At 46.6% G+C, this 21860-nt stretch overlaps 1 protein-coding gene across 19 annotated transcripts in view, besides 3 other annotated features; it reads left to right on the top strand.

The window, feature by feature from the left end:
* The window catches only part of EFCAB6 (EF-hand calcium binding domain 6), a 283528-nt gene that overhangs the window by 253762 nt on the left and 7906 nt on the right, over positions 1-21860 (top strand). For 18 of the 19 annotated variants that reach the window (XR_007067980.1, XM_047441462.1, XM_011530319.4 and 15 more), the window contains 3 exons: positions 3448-3675; positions 18187-18417; positions 20999-21167. Coding sequence is in view for 18 of the 19 variants with exons in the window: in XM_047441462.1 (XP_047297418.1) it covers positions 3448-3675; positions 18187-18417; positions 20999-21167 (628 nt within the window). In the remaining variant the exon portion in view is untranslated. The other variant, XM_011530326.4, reaches the window with a different exon arrangement.
* Positions 14326-15103: an enhancer, noted in NCBI's record as "H3K4me1 hESC enhancer chr22:43939321-43940098 (GRCh37/hg19 assembly coordinates)". NCBI's record gives its function as "activates a minimal SCP1, AML or CMV promoter by ChIP-STARR-seq in primed H9 embryonic stem cells {active_cell/tissue: H9 hESC(primed)}" and the evidence as "EXISTENCE:reporter gene assay evidence [ECO:0000049][PMID:30033119]".
* Positions 15104-15883: an enhancer, noted in NCBI's record as "H3K4me1 hESC enhancer chr22:43938541-43939320 (GRCh37/hg19 assembly coordinates)". NCBI's record gives its function as "activates a minimal SCP1, AML or CMV promoter by ChIP-STARR-seq in naive H9 embryonic stem cells {active_cell/tissue: H9 hESC(naive)}" and the evidence as "EXISTENCE:reporter gene assay evidence [ECO:0000049][PMID:30033119]".
* Positions 21168-21669: an enhancer, noted in NCBI's record as "NANOG hESC enhancer chr22:43932755-43933256 (GRCh37/hg19 assembly coordinates)". NCBI's record gives its function as "activates a minimal SCP1, AML or CMV promoter by ChIP-STARR-seq in naive H9 embryonic stem cells {active_cell/tissue: H9 hESC(naive)}" and the evidence as "EXISTENCE:reporter gene assay evidence [ECO:0000049][PMID:30033119]".

Raw genomic sequence — 21860 nt, 5'->3', positions numbered from 1 at the left:
GACATGATATGAGCACATACTTTGGAAAAATGGTGCTGATAGACTTGCTTGACACAGGGTTGCCACAATCCTTCAGTTTATAAAAAACACAATATCTGCAAAGCACAATAAAGCAAAGCGCAAAAAAAAAAATGAGGTATGCCTGTGTCATATGTACCTTTCATATGGCATTTATCCAGAGGTATTCAATTGCTTTGTCATTAATGCGACTGTGAATTTTTGTCACATCTCAATCCTGAACTACTTACAGTGACCATAAAAGAATGGCATTGCTTTTTTGTACTTTTAGCTTGAATCCAGCCACTTTCCTAAATGCCATTGAGATTTTCTACCTATACAGTCATATCCACAAATAATGATACCAGTTTTCAACATTTACATGTTGATTTTATTTTCTTGTCTTATTTCAAAAGCTGGAACTTCTAAAAATGTGAATAGAAGAAGTGAAATCATGCTTATTTTGTTCCTGATTTTAATGCTTTAGTAGTTCATCCATTTAATATAATCTTTACAGATAATTTTTGATTAATACTCATGTTTACAATGTTTTATTTATATATAGTTCATCCATCCCATTCTATTTCTATTTTATACCATTTTATCAGGAATAGCTGCTGAATTTTGTCAAATGCCTCTGCTATCTGTTGACATGTGGCCTTCACTAAAGTAAGGAATTGAAAGATTTGCCAATTCTTGCATTCTTATCCATGAAATAAACCGTAGTTGATCTTGGTGTGTTATTTTTAAATATGGTGCTAAATATTTCTAATATTTTATTTTAGAATTTTTGCACTAATGGCCATAACTAGACTGACTTTTATTTTTTCTTTTGACATGTTTTCTTTATCATATTTTGGTATTTGTGTAATATACAATAATTGGAATATGACTCTTTCTGTGTTCTGGAATATTTTGACTAATGTAAAAATTATCTATCCCTTAAGGGTTCCATACAGCTTGCCTTTAAAATCATCTGGGCTTAACACCTTTTTAATGATAGATGGTAGATCTTTTAACAGCCTTTTTCATTTCTTTTGTGGTTACCTGTCTATTCAGGCCTTTCTAATACTTTAAATACTTTCTTTTCTAATTCAATTTAAATTGAATCTTTATTTGCTAATTCAATTAAATTGAATTTTGCTAGAAAACTGTTCAATTTCGTCTGAAGTTTAGAGCATATTAACCTAAGGTTGCACATAATACTTTGTTAGAATTCTTCCATATCTGTTGTTAGACTCATAGTATTTCCAGTTAGTTTCATGCTTTAATACTTTCAGAGAACATTCATATACATCATCTCAGGGGAGCCCTTATTCCTCCTGGGTAGATGAGGAAACCAAGGCAAAAAGTGGGTAAGCAACTTACTGGAGGGGCACACAGCCGGGTAGGGGCAGAGTCTAGACTCAGACCCAGGACTCCCATCTTCCCATGCTGGGCTCCATCCACCTGTGTTCTTTCCAGTAATGTTTACGTGAGGCCCTGTCCTCCTCAGGCCCTGAAGTTCTGAAACCGTAAGGATGGACTGAGAGGTATGGCTCTATGTCCAGGAGAGGCTCCTCTACTCTGTTGATGCCAACATCCCTTAGGGACATGCTCGTGTATTTGGGTCTGAGAAGTGCATTTGCAACTGTTTGAATCCTAAAGATATTCAAAATGCATCAGCAATATCACTTTTATTTTCTAAAATAAAAAAGACATTCATTTACTTCACAAATGGCTCCAAATGAAGATGTATAGAAGCTCCGTTAGCCTTTGCATGGTGGAGGATGTGGTGGGCTTTGGCTTTAGTGTATGTGTGTAGCTTTAGATTTCTGAGGACATTCCCAGCAGCATCCTGTATTTGGCACAGTTTCAGAAAGTAAGAAAGACTTTATACATTATGTAGACTTCTCTGTCATAAAACACAGTAACATCTAATATATACATTGCTGTCGAGCTGCTTAAAATAAAACATGACCAAGTTTTAATAGGAGTTGAGGGGTTAGAAGTGATACTCCGGTGAAACCCTTTGCATGGCACTGAGGGGCATGGTAGGAGCTGGTATCAAAGCTCACAGCCATGGTGGGCTTTGATGTGGGGAAACCCAGTATATCTCAGAATATACCCACGTACAGGAACAGCTTTCTTGTGTGGTCACCTTGGGAATCTCACTTGTTCCCGACTCCCACGCGTGTCTTCTAGCCCCACCCCTTCCAGGTCAGCATACTCCACGGGCTGCCCTGTTGATGCAGCAGCCACAGGCCTGGCTTTGGGAGCCTTCCTCTGATTTCAGCAAGTAGATGCATGTCAGAGCTGCTTCCCAGGCCCTGCCCATTTCCCCCCACCCCTGACCCCTGCCTCTTTGCAGGAGGCTCAAGACTCTGCTGCCCCATTCGCTTCATCCCCTGGGCCCCAGTTTCCCAAGCCTGACTTCAACGTGGAGCCCAGTCTCCCCAGTGCCTCCTCCTGACAGGCCCCAGGATAAGGCCCCTTGCAATTGTCATCATCTGCTGCTGCTCACTGAGTAACTTCCCTTGCTGGCTCTTCCCTCTGTCATATGTGTCTGCCACAGTGAGCATCCGCAGATGCTGAAGGTGGGATGCCGCCCTCTGCGGGCCCCTCCTAGCTCACCTGGCCACAAGCCCTCTTGCCAGCACATCAGTAAAAGAATCCTTCTGCTGTCTCTCTTTCTCCACAGCCAATTCCTCCTCCTCCCAGGAAATCTCTGAGCCCTGGCTAGGTGCACATCCCTCCTCCAGAGTCCTTAGCACCAAGGACAGTGTCATGAGGACCTGAACCACACTCCAACCCCCTGACTTCCAGTGCCCAAGGAGTGGGGCAGAGCACTAACCCAGGCCTGGGACCCGTGCCCACTGTGGGGAGGTCACCCTTAGCAGATGCCACTGCACTTAATTCCCCAGAGTTAAGTCCCTGTGGGTCTCACAAAGTTTCAGGCTTCAAGGAACATTTAGCTGTAGTCTAATGGCACAGCAGTCATCAAAACCCCCCTTTCAAATGTTGACCACTGTGAGTAATCAACTAAACTGGCATCCTGAAATGAAAGCATGTGGGTGCCAATCCCTGTTCATTCCCTGGCCTCTCAGGGAAGGCTCGCACTGTGTTTGTTAATCGATCCCAAAGACAGCCTGAAGGCATGAATAGATGAGAGTAAACGGTGTGCCCTCCCCAGGGCTGGGCTCTGTGCTGGCCGCCCAGCCTTCCAGGGCCACTGCTCTGCCCCATGGGGAACTCGCTGGATCCTTCATGGCAGGAAACCCAGGCTTCTGCTCAGCAGGGCCTGACCTGGGGCTGGAGGCTGCCTGAACCCACCTCCAGGCTGTAGCTGTCTTCTGGCCTCTCCTCCCCACCACGCTGGGTCTCCCTGCAACTTGCCCTGGGTGAGGAGCCCAGAGCAAGAGGTGGTCGATTATTTCTCACATGGATCAATTTCCATTCTATTTTGTCCAGACAGCTGATGAGTGGGCTGAGAAAATGCCCAAAGGCCCGCCGCCTACCTCTCCCAAGGCCACAGCCGACAGAGACATCCTGGCTCGCCTCCACAAAGCAGTGACTTCCCATTACCATGCCATCACCCAGGAGTTTGAGAATTTTGACACCATGAAAACGAACACCATCTCCAGAGAGGAGTTTAGGGCCATTTGTAATCGCCGCGTCCAAATCCTGACGGACGAACAGGTAAGAAACGCCAGTCAGTCCTCACCCTGCACACCGTTGGCTGAGCGTCAGCCTGGTCCCTGGCCAGAATGTACAGAGTTTAAGACTGTTCTCTATTTTTAAAATGCTTGCAGTTTTGTTATTTTGTTTTTCAATCTTCCTGAAGATTCACAGGAATCTTCTGTTTATGTAACAACTATAAATTACACCATTTTCATCAGGGTACAAATACTGTCACTGTTGCCTTTAAAATCAAATTCAACTCCGCTTCGGCTCCCACACTCCTTCTCCCTTCCCTGGAGCATCCCGGAGGTAATGTGGTCTGGGTCTGTCATGGGCAGCAACTATCTGGGGCCAGTGTTGCGCAGGCAGTAAAAAGAATGTACCAAGACAGTTGTAGGTAAAAAAGGCAGATGTATTAGAAAAAGTATGAAAATATGTTGCAAGAGTGCAAGGGGCAAGTCAGCAAGAGAAAAGCTGACTGCAAAGAGACAAAGGTTTGCTGGAGATTTTATAGGATGGTGCTTGTGCTGGGTGCTGAAGAAGGCTTTGTGCAGTACTGGAAACACCAAGGTTGCAGTGAGCTACCTTGCATTTTTCTATGAGCCGGGGGTCTGGTGATAGCTGGGCGCAGGAAGGTTGTTATTTGTGCAGGAGGACTACGTGTTCTGGACCATGAACAAAGGCAGACTTAGCGGCTTACCTGCTTTTTCATTTTGCTTTCCTCTGTTCCCACCAGCCTGATTCCTTTCCCCTAATTAGGACTCCACATGGTCCAAAGAAGGTGGGCAGTCGGTCCCCACGCCTGGAGGGTCACAGACCCTGGCAGGAGGCTGGCGCTCCTCCCGCCACCCCAACCTGCCTTCTCCTTGCTACTACCTGGTGCTGCTGCTGGCAGTGTGGGATGCTCCGGGCTGCTGCTCTAAGCATGCTGGGTACATGCCACCCCTGGTGGGCCTCTCCACTGTGCACAGGCTGGACACAGGCCCTGCCTCTCTAAGATCCTCCTCCCTATCACAGAATCCCCAGAAGGAGGTTCTTCCCAGCCTCCTCCCCTAAGGACTGGACTGAGCTCTTCTGTGGCTCAAAGGCTCCGACAACCTGCTCCCCTGGGCCGCTATGGCCCTTCATGGCCTTCCAAGGCCAAGAGCACCTCCCAGTGGGGTGGCGTCCTCAGAGTCTGCCTTGCCATGGCAGCTGTGGGAGGGAAGAGAGCACCTGCCCAGCCTGCCTCCCATCCATAGTCACACTGAACACCAGCACCAGGGGAGCAGTGCCCCAGGTTGCTTTGTTCCTCGCTGTGCCCTAAATGCCAAAGCAGTGCAGGGCGCTGAGTGGGTGCTCAGTACATGCTGCTGAATGGACAGCGTCCATACTCCCCAGCCCTTCACCGTCCTCGGCAGCCCCGTGGCTGATCAGCCAAGTAACACAGAGCACCACTGATCCAGTTACAGAAGTAGATTTCCCTTCACTCAGAAAATGCACAGCTACAAGCCCTCTCTAGTTCTCAAATGCATCAATGTCCCATTCCCAGAGAATAATTCAGACTAAAACATAAAATCCCCAAATACTTAACAAAGCAACTCTGCCTCCCTCCTTCCTCCTGGTTCTGCTCAGTCTCAGCCCAGGGAGTTCCCTGCAGACACTGCGTGGAAATGTCACTCTTTCGCCTCCAAAACTGGGCCATTACAACCTCTTGTCTCATTTTGTCAGAGTTGCAGGGTAAGGCCTTGGAAGTATTCATAGGGAAGCGTGATCATCGCAGTCACCCCTGGCTCTACTCACAGCTCTGAACTCACTGCCCCAAGAATGCATGCCGTAAAGACATTAAGAATGTGACTATCAGGTTTAACATTCCTAAAATATCACCTTTCTCAAGCATTTTGGTGTGATCATTTTTGCTAAGCAAAATTAAATGCTGTTTCCAAATGATCCTGCCCCATTGCACGTCAAAGCCGAGCAAACTCTGTATTTGCAAATACTCCTCTTAGCATAAATGAAAATAAGCCTTTGAAATTAATACAGTTGCATTTATTATTCTATGGGGCCAAGTAATCAAGGTTTTACTAATAAAGATTTTTTTAATTTCACCTAAATGAGTAAAATTTTACTCTAATTATAGATAGAAATTAATGACATGCTGACATATCTGGCATTCATCACAGAGAATTCAATTTTAATTGTCCACTAAGAAAACTTCACCATCCTCAGCACATCAAGCCCCTTCCCCAACCAAATTAAACACTTATTTTTAAACGCGGCTTTCTAAAAATAAGCTGACGTGTCTCTTACATGCAGCCAACAAACATATGAAAAAAAGCTCAACATCACTGAGCATTAGAGAAATGCAAATTAAAACCACAGTGAGATACCATCTCACGCCAGTCAGAATGGCTACTATTTAAAAGTCAAAAAACAACAGATGCTGGTGAGGTTACAGAGAAAAAGGAATGCTTCTACACTGTTGGTAGAAGTTGGGAGTGTCAGTTAGTTTAGCCATTGTGGATGACACTGTGGTGATTTCTCAAAGACCTAGAGGCAGTAATACCATATGACCAAGCCATCCCATTACTGGGTATATGCCCCAAGGAATATAAATCATTCTATTATAAAGATACACACACGTATGTACATTGCAGCGCTTTTCACAATAGCAAAGACAAGGAAAAAAACTAAATGCCCATCAGTGATAGGCTGGTTAAAGAAAATGTGGTACATCTACACCGTGGAATACTATGCAGCCATAAAAAGGAATGAGAGGCCAGGCACAGCGGTTCACGCCTGTAATCCCAGCATTTTGGGAGGCTGAGGTGGGTAGATCACGAGGTCAGGGTTTCAAGACCAGCCTGGCCAATATGGTGAAACCCCGTCTCTACTACTAAAAATGCAAAAAAATTAGCTGGGCACGGTGGCACGCATCTGTAGTCCCAGCTGCTCAGGAGGCTGAAGCAGGAGAATCACGTAAACCCAGGAGGCAGAGGTTGCAGTGAGCCGAGATCACACCACTGCATTCCAGCCTGGGCAAAAGAGCAAGACTCTGTCTCAAAAAAAAAAAAAAAAAGGAACAAGGGACATGGATGGAGTTAGAAGCCATTATCCTCAGCAAACTAACATAGGAACAGAAAACCAAACACTGCATGTTCTCACTTGTAAGTGGGAGCTGAATGATGAGAACACATGAACACATGGGGGAACAACACACACTGGGGCCTGTTGAGGTCGGGGAGGAGGGAGACCATCAGGAAGAATAGCTAATGGATGCTGGGCTTCATACCTAAGTGATGGGATGATCTGTGCAGCAAACACCATGCCACACATTTACCTATGGAACAAACCTGCACATGTACCCTTGAAACTAAAATAAAAGTTGTTGAAGGAAAAAAATTTAAAAAACAAAAATAAGCTGACCTGTCTCCAATACAGTCCTCATCAAGAACCTCAAACTCTGGCACGAATATTAGGTTCGTGCTAAAGTAATTGCGGTCTTTGCCATTGAAAGTAAAGACCGTAATTACTTTTGCACCAGTGTAATACATTGGGGGATGATTAGCAGAGATTGTGCTATACTTGGGGCAAATGCCCCTGGATGGGCTGATCAACAGCAAAAGCCCAGAGCTCCATGCATTTCCTCCTTGCATGAGTTACTTTGCTGGGGACCTTCTTGGTCGAAGGCGAGTTTCCTGGCAAAGTGTGACGTGGGGGTCATTTGTACTCCTAACATGTCTAGACCCTCATGCCATTTTTTGAAAGAGCTCGCAGAAGACGCCAGGACAGTTCAACCATATTAAATTACACTTAACTCCATATTTCATGACTTGGTTTATCTACATTATAAAAACTTATCTCCTACTTTAAAAAATCCAACAGTCACGAACGTGAGGGGCCAGCTTTCTTGACTTATCGAGCTCTGTAAGTGAGGGAAGTGACACATCTTTTGAAACCCTTTGGTGCAATTAACCTTTCGGGAAAGGAGAGCAACTTGCAGAGTGCATGAGTTGGAAATGGATGGGTCTTTGTGGCTCTGCAGAAAGCGTGTGATAAAAGGCAGTCGGAACTGGGTCTGCTTGGGTATTGCTTAAGACAATAGACCCACAGCAAGGGCCTCTTTTTGCAAAGCATTTAGATCAGCCCACAGTGATTGCTTGATGACTTTTAATATGCAGATGTATTAGGGAAAGGAACTGCTAAATGTTTCTGAACTTTTTTTTTTTTTTTTTTGAGACAGAGTCTCACTGTGTCATGCAGGTCGGAGTGCAGTGGTGCAAACTCGACTCACTGCAACCTCTGCCTATCGGGTTCAAGCAGTTCTCCTGTCTCAGCCTCTCGAGTAACTGGGACTACAGGTGCCCGCTACCACGCCCAACTAATGTTTGTATTTTTAGTAGAGACAGGGTTTCACCATATTGGTTAGGCTGGTCTTGAACTCCTGATCTCAGGTGATCCACCCGCCTCGGCCTCCCAAAGTGTTGGGATGACAGGCATGAGCCACCGCGCCCGGCCTTCTGAACATTTTAGACATGATATTTCTAAAACAGACACCCCTAGGAAGTGAGAATGATGCTCACAGGAAACAAAACCCTTCAGGCAGGTGGACTTAGGTTTCAGTCGTGCTTCTGCTCTCATCCAGCTGTGTGACCCTGGAGGAGGTGCCCAGCCTCTCTGAGCTTGTGTCTCCCTCGGTGAAGTGGGGATGCACAGTACCCCCCAGGCTCCTCCAGGTGCCCTACGCTCCACCCAGGCTGAACTTCAGCCTTCCCCACCTCAGCTTGCTGCTGCTTCTGCCGGCCCCTGCCCGTGTCTTTCAATGCCTACTCCTCCTTCCTGACTCCATGCAGAGCAAAGCATTTCCTGACCACAATAGATATTCTTTATCTAGCATAAAAGTTCCCTTTTATTCCTATTTGGCTAAGAGCTGTTTACCATGAATAGATGTTGAATTTTATCCAATGCTTTTCCTGTATCTATTGAGATACACAAGTAGTTTTTTGGGTTCAATTTCTCAATATAGCGGATTACATTAACGGACTTTCTGATGTTAAACTAAACTTGAATTCCTGGTATATGCCAAACTTGCTCATGAGGTATTAAAAGTGATTTTGCAGTACAGGATTCAGTTAGCAAGTTTTTATTGTATAATTTGCATTCATGAATTTTCTTTTCTCATCCTGTCTTGTCTGGCTTTGGTATCAATATTACACTAGCTTTGGAGATGGCATTTTTAGTTAATCCCCTTTTTCTGTTTTTCCAGAATAATTTGGGTAAGATTGGAGCTGTCCATTTATTGAACATTGAGTAGAAATGCTTGTAAAGCCACCAAGGCCCAGCATTTGCTTTATAGGAAGATTTTTTTTAACTGCTAATTTTCTTTCAGGATTATAAAGCCATTCAGGCTATCTTCATTTTGTCAGTTTGGGTGACTTATCTTTTCTACAGGAATCTGTCCATTTTTCTCCAAGTTTTCAAATTTATTAGCGTAAAATTATTAATAGTGTACTGTTATCTTTTTAATCTCTGCTGAATCTATACTTATACCTTATTTTTTCTTTCTAATATTATTTTTCTCCTGGCTTAATCTTGCCAGAATTTGCCTATTTTGTTAGTCTCTTCAAATTATCAACTTTTCGTTTAGTTGATATTAATTTTCTATTAATTTCTGCTCTTATCTTTATTATTCCTTCCGCTTTAGTTTAAGTTAGACAAAGCTTTCTGATTTCAGCTGTTCTTCTTTTCTTAATGAGCATTTAAAAGTATATATTTCCTTCTAATTACCACTTTAGCTGCATCCAAGTTTTGATATGTAGTTTTAAAATTATAATTCAGTTCTCCATAGTTTTTATTTCCATTTTGATTCCTTCTGTGATCCATAAAACATTTAAAAGTGCTCTCTTTTGTTTCCAAATACATGGATGTTTAAAGTTATTAATTTACCAATTAACTCCATTTTAATCAGAAAATATAATCTGAATGACATCAGTTCTTAGAAATACTTTGAGTTCTGATGTGTGGTCTTTTTTTAATAAATGTTCCATTTGTGGATGGATAGTATGCATAGCCTCCAGTGGCTGAGCGAAGGGTTCCACATATGCTGAGTAAAAGCTTGTTATTTATGCCCTTCAAAAACTCGTTGTCCTTTTTGTCTCTTTGGCCCATCCATCACTAAGAGGTATGTTGAAATCACTCACTGTAATAGTAGATGTATCCATTTCTTATTATTCTGTCCATTTTTATTATAATATATGTATGTGCGTTCAAGGTTGGTTCTTTTTTAAATTAAACGTATGCATATTCAGAGCTCTTATAGCCTCCTACTGAGTTGACCTTTTTTTTTTTTTTTTTTTTTTTTTTTTTTTGAGATGGATTCTCGCTCTGTCACCCAGACCGGGGTGCAGTGGCTTGATCTCGGCTCACTGCAACCTCTACCTCCTGGGTTCAAGCAATTCTCCTGCCTCAGCCTCCCAAGTAGCTGGGATTACAGGCACATGCCACCACGCCCAGCTAATTTTTGTATTTTAGTAGAGGCAGGGTTTCACCATGTTGGCCAGGCTGGTCTTGAACTTCTGACCTCAAGTGATCCACCTGCTTTGGCCTAATCCCAAAGGGCTGGGATTATAGACATGAGCCACCTTGCCCAGCTGGATTTTTTTAAAAATACAGTCTAATAATCTCATTTATTTATATGGATGTTTGACCCATTTACATACATTACTGATATGTATGAATTTATTTCTGTCATCAAAAGTGCTTTCATTTAATGCTCATCTCTTTTATATCGTTTTATTTATTTATTTATTTTTGAGACGGAGTCTCACTTTATCACCCAGGGTGGAGTGCAGTGGCGCCCTCTTGGCTCACTGAAAGTTCCGCCTCCTGGGTTCACGCCATTCTCCTGCCTCAGCCTCCCAAGTAGCTGGGACTATAGGCGCCCGCCACCACATCCAGCTAATTTTGTTTTTTGTATTTTTACTAGAGACGGGGTTTCACCATGTTAGCCAGGATGGTCTCAGTCTCCTGACCTCGTGATCTACCCGCCTCGGCCTCCCAAAGTGCTGGGATTACAGGCGTGAGCCACCACGCCCAGCCTTTTATATTGTTTTTTAAACTCTTATTATCTTATTTTGGATTATGTTTTTTTTTTTTTCTTTTTTTCCCCAGGCTTGAGTGCAGTGGCATGATCACGGCTCACTACAACCTCAACTTCTCTGGCTCAAACTATCCTCCCACCTCAGCTTCCCAAGTAGCTGGGACTACAGATGCATGCTACCACCCTCAGCTTATTTTTATGGTTTGTTGGTTGGTTGATTGGTTGGTTTTTTGTAGAGACTGAGTTTTGCCATGTTGCCCAGGCTGGTCTCAAACTCTTGAGCTCAAGTGATTCACCTGCCTCGGACTCCCAAAGTGCTGGGATTACAGGCGTGAGCCACTGCACCTGGCCAGATTGAGATTTTTTAAATTCCTTTTTTCCCCACTATTGGTTTGGAAATTATATATCTATTTCTGTTATTTTAACCAATAGGTGATAATTGCCCTTGAAATTTTATCGTATGTAACAAAACAAAGTCAAAAGTTCATCAGTCTTTTCATTGTTCTCTTTTGCCAATTGGCTTTTAAGGTTTTGTTCACCTGCCTGTAGGGTTAGCAGCTTTCCCGGCCCTACTGATTTCCCTTACTTCCTCATGAGCGCTACAGGGCACATGACATTGAGTTGCCCTAACTCCGATTTTCCCTAGATTTCATTTCATTATTATTTGTTGTTTTAGATCTATCTTGTTTTTTCTCCACAAATTAATCATTAGACTGTTTTATACAGTGGTCATTTATTTGGTGTCCCCTTCTTTACTCTTCACACCTTAGACCTTTCTTCTGAGATCATTTTCTTTCTCCGTGAAGTATTTCCTTTAGTTATGATCTTAAGTTCGCCCAGTTTTTATCTGAAAATATCTTTTTTTGACCATATTTTTGAAAGGTAACTTTTCTGAGTAGAGACTTTTATTTTATTTATTATCCTTTTTTTTTTTTTGAGACAGAGTCTCACTCTGTCACCCAGGCTGGAGTTCAATGGCATGATCTCGTCTCACCACAACCTCCGCCTCCTGGGTTCAAGTGATTCTCTTGCCTCAGCCTCCCGAATAGCTGGGATTACAGGTGCGCACCACCACACCTGGCTAATTTTTTGTATTTTTAGTAGAGACGGGTGTTTCACCATGTTGGCCAAGCTGGTCTCGAACTCCTGACCTCAGGTGATCTGCCCATCTTGGCCTCCCAAAGTGCTGGGATTACAGGCGTGAGCCACCACGCCCGGCCTGAAAATCTCTTTATTTGACCATATTTTCACAAGGTAACTTTTCTGGGTAGAGAATTTTAAATTGACAGTGATTTCCTCTCAATTTTTTAAAAATATCATTCCACCATCTTCTGGCTCCCACTGATACTGCTTTTAAGGCCGCGCCTTTATGTTCTGCCAGACGTGTCTACTGCATCTGAAACTGTGTGTGTAGGACCCACGAAACCACATGTTAGCAAGCACTCCAGGCGGCTCTGATGTGCTTAGGTTTGACAAGGACTGTTGTACTCTATCTTCAGGTTCATTATCTCTCTCCTCAACTGTGTCTCATCTGTTGCTTAATCTATACATTGTATGTTTTAAAATTTATCAATGATTATATTTTTAATTTCAAGGAAGTGTATGTGTTTGTTTAAATGAAAAAAAAGTCTGACTTGTCAGTTCTGGTATTATCTTGCTCCTTGCTGATTTTTAATACCAGTGTTTACTCCTTTAGCTATTTTATACATTGCCTTTCATTCATTTTAATACACATGTCTACTTTAACTATTTCACATATAATCTTGTTATATTCTCTAGCTAATATCAAATATCTGAAGTCTAAATCTGTCTTAGCTTGTTTTTGCCAACTCATGTTTATGGTGACTTGCCTCTTCATGTGTTTAGTGATTTTTATTTCATGAAAGAGCTTATATTTGGCTGAATTTAATCTGGGGGAAATCCTGAGGGGCCTGGACTGAGTATGATTGTCTACGAAGATGATTAGGGTTTGCTTCTTCCAAGTGCCAAAGATGCTGCCAGCCCGACGCTGCTTCGGTTCCTCCACCTTGGGGTCCCATGATGGAGAAACCAAAATGGTTTCACAGACTCCAGGCCATGAGCTCCAGGTCTGTGCCCAGCCCGGAGCTCAGAGCCATGCAGGTTTTCCTCACCCAGCCTTGCACTGAAGATACAGCCCATCAGGTAACCTGGCTCATTATGCCAGGATCTCCAGGCCTGTGCCTCAGTCTCCCAACCCCTGAGCACCATCAATCCGCAAAACTTTGGCCTCCCAGGATTAGCTTTTGCAAGCTGGCTTTCAGGTTTTTGTTCACCCGTCTTTGGGGTTAGCAGCTTTCCTTGGCCCTTAATGATTCGCTGTACTTCCTTGTGAACTTTGCAATGAATTTAAATATATGTTTTTAAAAATATGTATCCATCAACTGGGTGTTTTGTGAACGGAGGCTTATTAGAATGTCTAGGCTGCCATAATGCCTAGGATCTCTTTAAACTGTAAACTATTTAGAAGTGATAGTTTCATTTTCCAGACATAGGATCTTTTATGATCAGGTTCTATTTGTATTGTATTGTGGCCAGAAAGCATGAAACCTGGCCACTGAAAAAGACACCATTGAAAAAGACATAATCATGTCTGTTTTCATGTCTGAATTCAGACATGATCTGAATAGCTTTTTTTTCTTTTGAGATGGAGTCTCACTCTGTTGCCCAAGCTAGAGCACAGTGGTGCGATCTCGGCTCACTGCAAGCTCCACCTCCTGGGTTCACGCCATTCTCCTGCCTCAGCCTCCTGAGTATCTGGGACTACAGGCGCCCGCCACCACGCCCGGCTAATTTTTTTTTTCTTTTTTATTTTATTTTTTCTGTATTTTTAGTAGAGACGGGGTTTCACCATGTTGACCAGGATGGTCTCGATCTCCTGACCTCGTGATCTGCCTGCCTCGGCCTCCCAAAGTGCTGGGATTACAGGTGTGACCCACTGCACCCAGCACTGAATATCTTTTTTATCTGATTTATCTGGAGACTATTTTGTTGCTTTGAGTATTGTTCAGGGTTCTTAGTTGCAGATTGCAGGATCCACACAGGCAAGTTTTAGCAGAAAGAGGTTTTTTTTTTGAAGGGTATTAGGATCTTACAGAAGCTCTGGAAGGGCTGGAGAACCAGAAAGGATGTCCCCACGTCCAAGAACGTGGCAGCCAAGAGAAACCCAACCCCACCAGGAGGCTTTTCCAGAAGAAACCCACTGCCACTGCCTCCCAGCAGAGCTCAGCACTGTGGTGCTAAGGGGATGGGACCAAACCCCTCTGCCACCAAACAGACCAGAAGAGCTGATCACCACCTGGGCTAATTCCTTCCTTCCACCTTGCAGGCAGTTGTGTCTGTTGTGTCTGCTACAGAGAAAAATGGGCACAGTACCTTCTAGCTGCCCAGCCTCTGTAGTTCAAGAAGGCAGACCACATCCAGAGACACGAGGAGGGGTGGCCTGGATAGGAGCCGAGACTTCCTCCTGTAGCTGTGGGGTGGGAGCATAGGTGCAGTCAATTTGATATAATGTATATTTTCTCTATGAAGTATGGGGTAAGATTATCAGCTGAGAGTGAGGGGACCATAGTGGATATTTAAGAAGAGGAAATGGTGCAGAGGGGTTGCCACAGAGAGCAGCAAGGGACATTTACTGGGGAAGAGTTGTGGGCGTGTCTGGCAGTTACAGCAGGAGCTTCCCCAGTAAGCTCAGGGGGAGGCTGGGGAGGGAGGAGTGGAGTGAAGAAGTAGTTGTGTGGGTTCCAAGCTTTGTTCAGGAGGGAGGTGAGGGCTGGGCAGGATGAAGGATAGGGTAAAACAGAGTGGTGGGTGGACGTAGAGCTGGTCTCAAGGAGGAGGGGTGAAGACACAGAGGTGAAGGTTGGAGAGAGAAATGTCTAGAACTAGGAGAGGCCAGAAGAGAGGCCTGTGGACTTGGTGCGGGACTGGGGCTGCCGGAGGGTCTTCTCAGCATTCCTGCGCCACCCTCGGCTCACATCAGTGCCTGAGAGGGGTCCCTTTCCCTCTCTTGCTGCCTTTGCTGGTGCTGGGCTCCTGACGGGGTGGAGGCATCCTGGGCCTCGGGTGAAGCTTTCTCACTGCTCCGGCCCCATCCAGCCCCTCCAGGGCAGCCCTCTCTGCCTCCTGTCTCTGGCGGCTATTGGGCTCATCCCCTCAGACCTCTGCTTTGTAGAGGAGCAGACCTTGGGCCCAAGGGGTCGCTGCCCATTCTGCAAGGATGTCGATCCTTCCCCTCCCCCAGAGCCTGGGTGAGGTTCCCAGTGGAGGAAGGAGGGGTTCTTACCCCTGTCCTAGAGGCAGAGAGTTGAGTGGGTTTCCCCAGCAGCTTAAGGCTTCTGCATCCTATCGGGGGGTCTGGAGAAGTGGCCCCGTGCACACACTCTCTCACCTCGGGCTTGCAGGTGGATCTAGAGCACCAGCAGAGGTGCGAGGAGAAGGGCTGGGGGCAGGTGGGAGCCGCCCTGGTGGCTGGGTCCCCCAGCTGTCCTAGACTGACATGGCAGCCTGCACGTGGCCTTCAGAATTTGTTCAAAGATGAACTGACTTCTTCCTCCCCTCCTCGGTGACTGCCACCACTTCCTCCCACACTTTGCCAGGGGTGAGAGCTGGTGGCAAGTCCGGCTCTCCTTGGAGCCTGGGGCTGTGTAATTCCGTCCCTCCCCTTGGCTCCCTGTGACCCCGCGCTCATGGGCTCAGGGGAAGAACTGTGGCTGCAGGTTGCCTGGCTTGTCCCTGTTGATGGCAAGTAGCCCTCTGTTGCCACTTTTCTACATCGTAAGCAGAGTGGGAACCCATGGTGGTGTCTTTCTCAGGGTTCAGCTGGTGGCTCAAGGAGACGGGATGATTGAGCGTGCGCAGACCTCACCACGCTGATGTGGAAACTCACTTGCTTTTGACGCTTTCACAGTCCAGCAGCGTCTTGCCCACGTTTCATGTCAAGCTCACTGGCTGGCAGTTTTTCAGAATCCAGTCTCCCTAGTGTCTGTCCAGCCTCGTTGTGCCCTTCAGCCCCCATCCTGGTGCCGTTAGGCCCATTGGTGTTCTAGGTGCCTCCATGGAGACTGGAGGCCACATGCGGGCTGGGGGCTATTTCCTCCGGTGCTGCCTCCTCCACCCTCCCATTCTGAGGCTCTTCAGTTAAAATAGGATGAAAATAGGAATCCTGTGGTCCCTCATGGCCTCCTCCGCACCACAGAATTTTTTGTTTTTGAGATGGAGTCTTGCTCTTTTGCCCAGGCTGAAGTGCAGTGGTGCGACATTGGCTCACTGCAGCATCCACCTCCCAGGTTCAAGCGATTCTCTCGTCTCAGCCTCCTGAGTAGCTGGACTTACAGGCTCCTGCCACCACGCCCAGCTAATTTTTGTATTTTCAGTAGAGATGGGGTTTCACCATGTTGGCCAGGCTGGTCTCAAACGCCTGACCTCAGGTGATCCTCCTGTCTCGGCCTCCCAAAGTGGCAGGATTACAGGCGTGAGCCACTGCACCCAGCCTGCACCACAGAATTTAATTAGGGAGTTGGCCAGCCCCAGCCACCCTGTTAGAAGAGGAGATCCTTAGGTGGGAGCCCTGGGATTGTCTCCTGCCAAGCTTCATTTTCACGGCATCTGTCAGCATGCACACCGACCTCCCTCAGTGTTTATCCTTCACGGCATGATCTTCTGCCTCCTCAGCTCCGAGTCCAGCTCAAACAGGAGGGTGCAAGCCTACCGGGTCCTCCCCTACGGGGCTCGTCCTCTCCTGCTCCATGAGAGGGCCTCAGGAGGAGGGGTCAGAACAGCGTTCTGCACCTTCCATTGCCCTCACCTTGAAGCATCCTTCCCCTGGGTCTGACCAGTCTGACCATGTGAGTCTCTTAGGAACTTCAGCCAATGAGCAAACATGTATTGAGCACCTGCTGTGTGCCTTCCCCTTTGCCAGATGTTTGACACTTAAAGTTGATTCTCAGAGGACCCTGCAGGGAGCTTCCAGGCCAGGGGAGGGAGGGGGAGAGATTAGCTGCAGAGGTGGTTTTGGCACCACATGGGAAGGTGTCAGGGGGGCCATCTGCCCAGTGGTTTTGGCCAGTGGTCCTGGAGGACACAGAGGTGGGGGAGCTGATTCCTGTCTGACAGGTTACTGTACTTGGTGCCGGTGAGGTCTGAGACACCGCAGTCACATCCTCAAGGTCCCCTCACTTCTCCACAAAATAGTTTTTCCTCGTTGGTCAGAATGCAATCAACACGAATCTACACGTGTAGTAAAATGACATCAGACCGCACCCGCACTGTGCCCATGCCCACCTCCTGGTTTTGGTGTTTTCACTTAAGACAGAGCCTGGGGAGAAACTGCAGGAAGGGTGCAGGGACCTCACTGTACTGTCCTTGTCACCTCCTGCAAGTCTATAGTTATTTCTAAATAAAAAGTAAAAAGATAAATTGAGAACCTTGTCCCAAACTAAACCTTTTTGCCTTTGCACCCCCCAACCCCGACTTCCGTACCTCTCCCTGCTTCTTCTGAGGATTCAAATCAAGCCCAAGACAGTCACTCTAATTTGCTTTGGAAAACCCCAGTGGAGACCCAGAAGCAACTCGGTTTCTGGCAGAGCCCAGGCTTCCAGGGGAAAGCGCAGGATGGGAAGGAAGGAACCAGGGTTTGAGCCTCCCCTCGCCTCTCTGGAGGCTGCCTCTCCATCAGCTGTGTTGGAGGCTGGGGCTCCGTCTGGTTTTTGGGGCTGTGCAAAAATCAAATTGGAAGGAGTTGCCCTTCTTCACTCCCTGAAAGCCCTCCAGTTACCAAAAGTGGCTCATTTAGGATGCATTGAGTCATTCATTTTTTTTTCTATCTTCATGGTGTGTGGTTTTGATACAGTCTGTGGCATCAGACAGCAAAAATACAAAGCCATAAACCGCTCCCTGGTTTTCCAAATGCCTCCCTTTTCATCTTGTGAGAAGACATTTTTTGCCCTTAGGGTGAAATAAATCGTGGATGCAAGTGCAGGGGCTGAGGGCTGCGTCACCTGGTGAGCTGTTTGCAGAACTCAGGTGTACCTGGAAGGGTGAGAAATGAGTCTGACTGGGCTTCCCTGGGATGAAGGTGGGTGGGGGCTCTGATTTGCATTTTCTCCCAAATGTTCGAATACACTGCAGCTCAGGCACTGTGACTAATCACAAGATTTAATGGCCTTAAAGTGCTCACTGAGGGCCCAATTCAATTAAAAAATGTCCTGCAGAAGCCATGAATAATCCTCTTGTCTTTGCTTTTCCAGAGTCTTCCTGAGGCCTCCGCCGAGCGAAGGCCAAATGGGCGTTTTATTTTTTTAATTTTCTTCTTCACCAGTCACGTGAGTGCTCACCTCCTGCGAGGCCGGCCTGTCCCACTTCTCGCTGGCACAGGTGCGACGCTGCCTGTGTTTGCACTGACACCTGGGAAATGACTTCTGCTCCTTCTCCAGTTTGACAGACTCTGGAACGAGATGCCAGTCAATGCCAAGGGGAGGCTGAAATACCCGGACTTCCTGAGCAGGTTCAGTTCCGAGACAGCAGCCACACCAATGGCCACTGGTGACTCGGCCGTGGCCCAGAGAGGGAGCAGTGTCCCTGACGTCTCGGAAGGCACCAGATCTGCCCTCTCATTGCCCACTCAGGAGCTGAGACCAGGGTCAAAGTCGCAGAGCCACCCCTGTGTGAGTTCTCCATCCTGCCAGGTGTCCCAGGCCTCCTCATGCCACATCCACAAATCCCACTGGGGGGACTTTGGGGGCCCTACTATGGCCCAGGGTTGAGTGGCTGAGAAGACGGGTGAGTCTGGGGTGGGGGCACATGCAAGGATCCCACTGGCAGGTCCTTAGCATCCATTCCCTGGGAGGGGGGCAGACGTGGGGATAGGAACGGTGGAGGAGTGGGATGGAAAGGAGGCAAGAGCGGGTGCAAGGTGGGAAAGGGAGCGAGAGGCAGGGCGGGAGGCACCTGTCCGCAGTGCAGTGGTGCTGCCGGCAACTCTGTGCAGAAGGCAAAGCCCTGTGGTCAACTGCGGGCCACCGTCCCTTGAAGCAAGTTATACCCATTTTCCAGTTGAACACAGTGAGGCTCTAAGAGGCATTCTCATGTGATCTTGGTCCCTCAGACGTGGAGCGACCTGATTTTAAGCCCAGGCCTGTCAAATTGCACAGCCTGGAGCCCTGGCTGAGCCACCCCAGGCCTGGGACGGAGGAAGGTGCCCAGGCTTGCCAAGCCTCTTTTTTTGTCTGCAGAAAGGGATGGCAATGTCATCAGGACAGGGTGGTTGAGAGAATGCCACACCATGCACATGAAGCCACCATCACTATGCGTGACCTTGACCTTGGCTAGTCCATTCTCATTAACTCCATGCAAGTTTATTGCACACCTACTGTGTGCTGGGTATTTTCTATAGCTGAGAATGAACTAAGGTTCCTGCTCTTGTGGAGTTTGTGTTCTTTTAGGGGTAATAGGCAAGAAAAGCAGTATGCATAAGTGTTTATTACATTAAAAGGCGGTAAGTAGAGCAGAGGGAAGAGGGGTCAGGAGCACCCCAAAGATGCCTGTGTCCTAATCCTTGGAAGCTGTGACTATGTTGTCTTACATGGCCAGGGAAGTTAAGGTTGCAAACAGAACTGAAGTTGCTAATCAGCTGGCTTTGGGGAGAGTATCCTGGAGTAAGCAGGTGGGCTCAGGGTAATCACATGGGTCTTTAACTGGGAATCCAGAGGCAGAAGGCTCAGGGCTAGAGAGATGCAATCTGAGAAAGATTCCACCTAACACTGCTGGCTTTGGAGAGAGAGGAGGGGGCCACAAACCAAGGATTGTGAGAAGCCTCTGGAAATTGAAAAGGCAAGAAAATGGATTCTCCCCTTGAGCCACTGGGCACCTTGATTTTAGCTCAATGAGACCCAGTTCAGACTTTGGACCTCCAGAACTGTAAGATAATAAGTTGGTGTTGTTTTAAGCCACTAAATTCACGGAAATCTGTTACAGCAGCAGTAGGAGGCTGGAGGCCTGGAGGCCATGATGAGGACTTTGGCATTCACTCAAGGGGTATGGAGCCTTTGCTTATTTTTAAGCAGCAAAGTGACATAATCTGAGGGACTCTTTAAAGACCACTCTGGAGCCGGGTGCAGTGGCTCACACCTGTACTCCCAGCACTTTGGGAAGCCGAGGCAGGTGGATCATGAGGTCAAGAGATCGATACCATCCTGGCCAACATGGGGAAACCCCATCTCTACTGAAAATACAAAAATTAGCCAGGCATGGTGGTGGGCGCCTGTAGTCCCAGCTACTTGGGAGGCTGAGGCAGGAGAATGGCGTGAACCTGGGAAGCGGAGGTTGCAGTGAGCCGAGATTGCACCACTGCACTCCAGCCTGGCGACAGAGCAAGACTCCATTTCAAAACAAAAAAAAAAACAAAAAAACAAAAAACACTCTGGATGCTGGGGGTGTGGGTCGGTGAGGAGGTCTAGCAGAGGCGATGGTGGCTTGGGATGGGGTGCTGGTGAGACTCTGGATGTATCATCAAGGTAGAGCCAACAGGATTTCCTGAGGGATCAGATGTGGGATGGAGAGGGTGAGGGAGAGTCAAGGAAGACTTCTAAGGGTTCAGGCTGAGCAACTGGAAGAAGGACCTAATTATCAACTGAGATGCAGGAGGCTCTGAGGTTTGAGAGAAAAACCAGGAATCCAATGGAATTGCATAAGTTACTAATTTAGATAACCACTTGTCAACGGGGACTTCAGGAAAAAAAACCTGGGCTAGATTAGAGCCACTCCCTTGTTTTTAAATAGGAAATACAATAAAGCAAAGAACAGCCTCGTACTTGATCCACATAATGTCTAAATAACAGATATTCTGTGAATGTTTACGGATTGGATGTCTTGTGCCCAGGACAAGTAAATCCCTTTCTTGGATAAGACTCTTCCGCTAGTGAAAAAATTTGTCGTTGTCACTTCTCACACACACACACACACAGCAGAAATATGTTTACATCTCATCTGTGTAGATTTGAACCTTGGCTACATGGCTATTTCCAAAATTATTTTGGTTATTATGGCTTGGCATAAGTACATATAGCCCACCAATGGAAATAAAAGCTACATTGTAAAATCACCATCTATGTTTTATTCTTCATTTTATTTCTGGGCTAATTCTGCCTCTAAAATTGTGAACCTCAAAACTGGAGGTATTGAGGTATTTTTGATGACTTCCGTTTTAAATCTTAAGTGAAAAGAGCCTTTTCTTTTCTTCCCTGCTAGACTCCAGCGAGCACCACCGTGATCCCGGGCACTCCACCCTTGCAGAACTGTGATCCCATAGAGAGCAGGCTCCGGAAGAGAATCCAGGGCTGCTGGCGCCAGCTCCTGAAAGAATGCAAGGAGAAGGACGTGGCCAGACAGGGGGACATCAACGCCTCCGATTTCCTGGGTTCGTTCAGATTCTATCTGCTTGGTAATATGTGGTCAGCCCCTGTGGCAAGAGGCTGTTCCCACTGGGTACAAAGCCACACCCCGGGTGGAGGCCAGGGAGCAGCAGAACAGGAAACTGGTGGGAACTTCTGGGTGGGCTGTGCAGCTTACTATACAAAGGTCCCCATGGAGGAGGATTCCGACTACCCGGCCCTCCCAGCAGGGGGCCCATCTGCATGGTAAAGTCAGCGCTGCACTAACTCTGAGCTTTAGAAATCACAGTGGTTGCCACCCTGGGCAGAGTGTGAATGTTCACAGACTCTGACTGCAGAAGGAAATGGAAAAGGTGGAGGAGGGCGGGATGAAGGGGACACTCCTGGGGCTCCATTCCCATCAACATTCACTCTTTGATGTTGTTTCGTTTTTCAGCATGTATCACTTTGGTAAACTTTTAAAATTAAACCAGTGGGATTTATACTTCCAGTAAATATTGCATCTTGGTTTTTTTGTTTTTTGTTGTTTTGTTGTTTTTTGGTTTTTTGTTTGTTTGTTTGTTTTTGAAACAGGGTCTTACTGTCACACAGGCTGGAGTACAGTGGTATGATCTCAGCTCACTGCAGCCTCCGTCTTCCAGGTTCAAGTGATTCTCCCACTTCAGCCTCCCAAGTAGCTGGGATTACAGGCATGCATCACCATGCCTGAATGTTTTTGT

Source organism: Homo sapiens, chromosome 22 (assembly GCF_000001405.40).
Source record: "Homo sapiens chromosome 22, GRCh38.p14 Primary Assembly".
NCBI classification, from domain to species: Eukaryota; Metazoa; Chordata; class Mammalia; order Primates; family Hominidae; genus Homo; species Homo sapiens.
Note: the sequence above shows the minus strand (reverse complement) of the source record. Positions and strands in the feature narration are given on the sequence as shown.